This window comes from Homo sapiens, chromosome 12 (genome assembly GCF_000001405.40).
Source record: "Homo sapiens chromosome 12, GRCh38.p14 Primary Assembly".
Taxonomy (NCBI): domain Eukaryota; kingdom Metazoa; phylum Chordata; class Mammalia; order Primates; family Hominidae; genus Homo; species Homo sapiens.
The window spans coordinates 29,080,359-29,087,125 of record NC_000012.12 but is presented as its reverse complement, the minus strand read 5'-3'; the positions used below and the strand labels follow the sequence as shown (position 1 = coordinate 29,087,125).

At 37.1% G+C, this 6,767-nt stretch overlaps 1 annotated feature.

Annotated features, from left to right (window-relative positions):
• Positions 696–745: an enhancer, noted in NCBI's record as "active region_6156". NCBI's record gives its function as "activates an Ori minimal core promoter by ATAC-STARR-seq in GM12878 lymphoblastoid cells {active_cell/tissue: GM12878}" and the evidence as "EXISTENCE:reporter gene assay evidence [ECO:0000049][PMID:35858748]".

Sequence of the window (6,767 nt, the reverse complement as noted above, 5' to 3'; positions counted from 1 at the left end):
TGTGTGAGGCCTGGCAAGGGGGGTTGAGGCTGGCTGCACACGTGCACACGGCTGCACATGTGGCAATGGGAACTGGGGCCTGTGGTAGGGGCCCAGGCTACTTGTGGGCACGTACACTGCAGCTGTGCTATGTATCCAGGCCAGGGATTCCCCAGTAGTAGTGGCTGGGGGTGGCTCCAGGGAGAAGGGAGGAGAGGAATAGCAGCTCAGGCAGCTAGATAATGCAAAGGTGATAAACTTCAAGGCCCTTGGTGTTGAAAGCTAAAGGGGTCCCCTGTGGCTTTTCTGGCTGTTGCTTTCCTAGGCAGCAAAAGCTGCTGGAGTCCTCTGCAGAACAGACCACCGGGGTTTGTGATGGTGAACAGTGCAGCGTTCTCAGGAGTGAAATCTGTGGGGCATGCATGGTGGCCACCAGGGCTCTGGACGTCCTCAGTGGAAAAGGCTGCTGGTGTCCTGTGCAGAAAAAGTCCCTGGGACCCTGGCGGTTCCTGCAGCTTAACTGATAATGGTAACTCCCACCTTTTTGTGTCCCTAGTCATCACCGGATGTCTCAACAATGTTGGTCTCACCAGCAATCTGGGTGAGGTGAAACTGAGGTGGGTCACTTAGGCAGGGTCCTGAAAGGCTGGGGTAGCTGGTTGTTCACCTCACTGTGCTTTTTCCTGTGAGGGGAACTCCAGAGCTGGGGAGTTTCCATGTTGAGCAGTTCTGACCTAGTGAATGGGATGCTGTAGGCAAAATAAAACCATTTTTTTGTGCAGTTATTCTCAAGGTTTTGTGTGTTTTTTTTTTCTTTTTTTGCTTTACTGTGTTTCTATAGCTTTTTAAGTAGGCTCCTGGCTTTTCTATAGTGAATTTTATTCATGGATAGCTGTCCAATTGTTGTTCTTTATGGGGGAGAGGAGGGGTCGAGACAAAGACGGGGACCTCCCCTTCTGCTATCATGCTGACTTCTAGAACTTTTTCATCAACCCAAACCAAAACTTTGTATCCATTAAACAATTTCCTATTACCCCCTCCTCCCAACCACTAGTAACCACTATTCTACTTTCTGTCCCGATAAATGTGCTTATTTTAGCTATTTCATATGAGTAGAATCATATAATATTTGTCATTTTGTCTCTGGTTTATTTCATTTAGCATAATGTTTTAAAGTTTATCTATGTCATAGCATGTATCAATTTTTTTTAAATAGATTTTTAAAAAAGAAGTTTCAGACCTTTATTTGAAACCAGGATTTATCCTTTCAATTGCGAATTACGGGACATCTTTTTTGTGTTTAAAGGTATTTTATAAATTGCCAATTGCTTCTATTCACTTCACTTTCCCTTCAGGCCAAGCAAAGTAATCTCTGTACTTTCCATTCAGTTTCAGAAAATTCAGTGTCAGAAAACTGAATGGAAAGTATAGATACTTCCCATATTCCCTCTGCTTGCCCCTTCCAGAGCCTCCCCAACTATGAACATTCCACACCAGAGCAGTCCATTTGTTACAACTGATACATCTACAATGACACAACATTATCACCCAAAGTTCATAGTTTACCTTAAGGTTCACTCTCGGTGGTGTGCATCCTATGGCTTTTGACAAATGTATAGTGACATGTAGCCACCATTGTAGTATTGTACAGAATAGTTTCACTGTCCTAAAATTCTCTGCGCTGCACTTGTTCACTCCTCTTTCTCCACTAATATTTGGCAACCACCAATATTTTACTGTCTCCATAGTACTGACTATTCAAAAATGTCATATAGTTGGAATCCTATAGTATGTAGCCTTTTCAGATTGGCTTATTTCACATAGTAATATGCTTTTAAGTTTCTTCCATGTCTTTGTGGCTTCGTAGCTCATATATTTTTATCACTGAGGAATATTCCACTGTCTGAATGTACCACAATTTATTTATTCATTCACCTCTTGAAGGACATCTTAATTGCTTTCAACTCTTGGCAATTATGAGTAAAGCTGCTATAATCATTTAGGCAGATTTTTTGTATGGATGTCAGTTTTTAACTTTGTGGGTAAATACCAATGAGTGTGATTGTTAGATCGTGTGGTAAGAGTGTGTTTAGTTTTGTAAGAAACTGTCAAATTTTTTTCCAAAGTGGCTGTACCATTTTGCATTTGTGCCAGCAGTAAATGACAGTGCCTATTGCTCCATGTCTTTGGAAGTATTTGATGTTGTCAGTGTTTTGAATGTCTGCCATTCTAGTAGGTATACTGTGGTATCTCATTGCAGTTTTAATTTGCAAGTCCCTAGTGACACAGGATGTTGTACATCTTCTCATATGCTTATTTGCCATCTAGATATCGTCTTTGGTGAGGTGTATGTTCAGATATTTTGCTTGTTTTCTAATTTAATTGTTTGCTTTCCTATTGTTGAGTATAAAGAATTCTTTGTATATTTTATATACCAGTTATTTCAGATGTGTGTTTTGCAATTTTTTCTAGTCTGTGGCTTATCTTTTTATTCTCTTGATGCATCAGAATTTTATTTCTTTTTAGGGGTGAATAATTTTCTAATGCATGTTTATACCACACTTTGTTTATCCATTGATAGACATTTAGAATATTTTCACCTTTTTCTGCGAATAATACTGCTATAAATTTTGTTGTAAAAATGTCTGTTAAAGTCCCTGCTTTCAATTCTTTTGGGTATATAACCAGAAGTGGAATTGCTGGACATCTTTTTGCTTTTAAAAATTCTTCAGTAGTGTAACTAAGCAATTATTCTCAGTTTTTATTTCTGTGAGCAAAGTAGTCAGGTAGCATTCACAAAAAGACACTATTATAACAATCTTTGTTCTTCATGTAGCTTTATCATTTCTTGTTAGTAAGTGAAGAATTAATCAGCAGTCTGCCAGATTCAGGCAAGTAATTATGATTCTTGACTGCAAATGGCTTTGCCTGCATGGAAAGTGAAGTGAATTGAAGCAAATGACAATTTATAGAATACCTTTAAAAATAAAAGAGATGGCCCATAATTCCCATTTGAAAGGATAAATCCTGGTTTCAAATAGAGTGCTGATAAAATAGATTAGAATAAAAAGACCTGCAAAAGCACCACAGAGAATCCAGATGGAATCTCATCCCTTGCTTCTTTATAATCTACAAATACCTAACAGCAGTAGGACAGTATCATTGTATTTTCTATGCAAAAAGTATAATTTTCTATTTTATTCTCAAAATGTCAGGAAACAGGCAGAGGAACTCATGGAGATTTGCAATCTCAATATATGAAAAAAGACAATTATTATAGATATGCAGCCTTCAACCAGGGTAACATTTCATCAGGTGTGCATGGATACTGGATTAAGTGAGTTTATGATCTGAATGTAAAGCATGTATTTTGCATATGGGGTCTAGAAAAGAGTTATGACATTCCCACTTAATATCTTCTAAAAATGAAATATGCTTAAGCATATTTAGTTAAGCAATATAACTAAAGTTTATATTGAAAATATCATTCTTGTCAGATTCTTGACTATTATCTTAGTTTAACTATGGTTAAATGCTTACCTTCAACAAATACTTCGAGGTCTTTTGGCTTTATTGCTAAATTCCTTTAAACTCTTAAAGAGTATATATTCTCTATAATATAAAATATGTTTCATGTTATAGAAAAAGATAAGAAAAATGAACTAAATTAAACTGAGCATTCACTTGATATTGAAACCTGACAAAGGTGTTCTGCAATGGGATATCATGCTTGTGAGCATAAAGTCTGGAGTTTACTCAGCAAATGAAAGTAGTGTGAAAGAATAGTCCAATACAATGAGGTGGATTTTATCCCAGAAATGGTTTAACTTATGAAAAGTTATTGGCTAAGCATGGTGGCTCACACCTATAATCCCAACAATTTGGGAGGCCAAAGTGGGAGAATTGCTTGAGGCCAGGAGTTTGAGACCAGCCTGGGCAACATAGTGAGACTCTGTCTCTACAACAACAACAAAAAATTAGCCAAGTGTGGTGGCTCACTCTTATAGTTCCAGCCACCTGGGAGGCTGAGGGAGGAAGATCTTCTGAGCCCAGGAGTTTGAGGCTTCAGTGAGCTGTGATTATACCACTGCACTCCAGCCTGGGAATGGAGCAAGACCTTGTCTTAGGAAAAAAAAAAATTCCTTTGGATGACTGAAAATAAAAAAGAAAAAGTTACTAATATTTTATGTTGCTGTAATAGGTCAACCCACAAAACAATAAATAAATAATATTTTCAGCATCTGCTAGAAAAAGCATATGATAAAATTCAATCTCCATTCCTTGTTTAAAAACATTTTTGAGTAACTCAGATTTTCTGTCCCCATTCTTAATACTTGTTTAAACAAGAAACGTTTTGATGACACATATTAAGAAATTTAAAACCGCAGCGAAGTGTTCATTGCTGTCCTATGACTTCCATAGTTTTCTCATTCAGAAAGCTAGAACGTGTCTGGGGCAGATCAGTAAATCTCATTTTGAAATTAGCTCACAAAGTTCTTCTCTCATCTCTCCTCTGTTAGTCAGGTTCTCAGACTGAGCAGAAGGTTCAGAGAGAATGGATTGAAAACATTATTCACTTCTGATCTACAGTTCTTCTGACTGGTTTTCAAGATTTGAAATTTGTTGTTATCCTTTCTTACTCTCAAGCCCAAGCAGCAGTGAAAACATTTAAGAATTTAATTTTGTAACATGATTTTCCTAAAGATTGAGTTTCCTTTTAAGTCCAAGAATCATGTCATGTAAGGTCAAAACATTTTCTTTAGACTTTGCAGGGACTTGTTTAATTGGTTTATGTGATAAAAATGCCTGCCAGGGAGGCTGGTTTCTGCAGCCATTTTTCATCTTTAAGGCATGCAAAAAAACTCTGGGCTACTATCTTCTTAAAACTGCCTTTGTAATTTAACTTTCAACTCAAACAACTTGTTTAAAAACACTCTTTAAGCTAAGCCAACAGATTTCTCTATGTAGCAGATTTATGTGTTTTTAGTTTATGTGTTCACACTGTTTTTCTTTTCTTTAACCAAACTGGTCTTTGTTTAATAAAGTTACAATCATCCAGATCATTTTTCATTTCATTTCTGAGAATCTTTTTTAGATTCAGAGGATATATGTGAAGAGGGTACATTGCTACATGAGTATATTATTTGATACTGAGGTCTGGGATACAAATGGTCCCATCACCCAGGCAGTGAGCATAGTACCTAATAGGTAGTTTTCAACCTTGCCCTGCTCTTTCCCCAACTCTGACAGTCCCCTGTGTCTATTGTTCCCAACTTTATGTCCATTTGTACCCAAAATTTAGCTCCCACTTATAAATGAAAACATGCAGTATTTGGTTTGCTGTTCCTGCATTAATTTGTTTAGGATAATGGCCTTCAGCTGCATCCATGTTGCTGCAAAGGACATGATTTTGTTTTTCCTTATGACTGCATAGTATTCCATAGTACACACACACACACACACACACACACACACACACACACACACACCTATCAATCACATTTTCTTTATCCAGTCAACTGTTGACAGGTACCTAGGTTGAATCCATGTCTTTGCTATGGTGAATAGTGCTGTGATGAATATATGAATGCAAGTGTGTTTTCAGTAGAATGATTTATATTCCTTTGGGTATATACCCAGTAATGAAATTGCTGGGTCAAATGGTAGTTCTATTTTTAGTTCTTTGAGAAATCTCCAAACTGCTTTCCATGGTGGCTGAACTAATTTACATTCCCATCAACAATGTATAAGCCTTCCCTTTTCTCCACAGCTTCACCAACATCTGTTATTTTTTGATTTTTTAATAACAGCCATTCTGTCTCATGTGAGATAGTATCTCATTGTGATTTTAATTTGCATTTCTTTGGTGATTAGTCATGTGGGACATTTTTTTCATGTTTGTTGGCTGCTTGTATGTCTTTTTTTTGGAGAAATATCTGTTTATGTCCTTTGCCTACTTTTTTTTTCATCAACTTTTATTTTAAGTTCTGGGGTACATGTGCAGATGTGCAGGTTTGTAATATAGGTAAACATGTGCCATGGTGATTTGCTGCACAGATCAACCCATCACCTAAGTATTATCGCCTAAGTATTAAGCGCAGCGTTCATTAGATATTCTTCCTGATGCTCTCCCTCTCCCCTCGCCCGCTGAACAGGCCCCAGTGTATGTTGTTCCCCACCATGTGTCCATGTATTCTCATCGTTCAGCTCCCACTTATAAGTGACAACCTGCAGTGTTTGGTTTTCTGCTCCTGTGTTAGTTTGCTGAAGATAAAAACTTTCAGTTCCATCCATGTCCTTGCAAAGGACATGAACGAATTCCTTTTTATGGCTTCATAGTATTCCATGATGTATATGTACCACATTTTCTTTATCCAGTCTATCATTGATGTCTTTGTTCATTTTTTTTTAATGGGGCTATTTATTTTTAGCTTGTTGAACTCTGTAAGTTCATTATAGAGTCTGGATATTTGACCTCTTTTGGATGGCATAGTTTACAAATATTTCTCCCATTCTGTAGTCTGTCTGTTTACTCTATTGACAGTTTCTTTTGCTTTGCAGAAGCTTTTTAGTTTAAGTAGATCCCACTTGTCAATTTTTGTTTTTGTTGCAATTGCTTTTGAGGAATTAGTCACAAATTCTTTGCCAAGGCTGATGTTCAGGGAGCTATTTCCTAGGTTTTCTTCTAGAATTTTTATAGTTTTTAGGTGTTACATTTAAGTCTTCAATCTATCTTGAGTTAACTTGTGTATATGATGATAGGGAGATGTCCAGTTTTATTCTTCTGC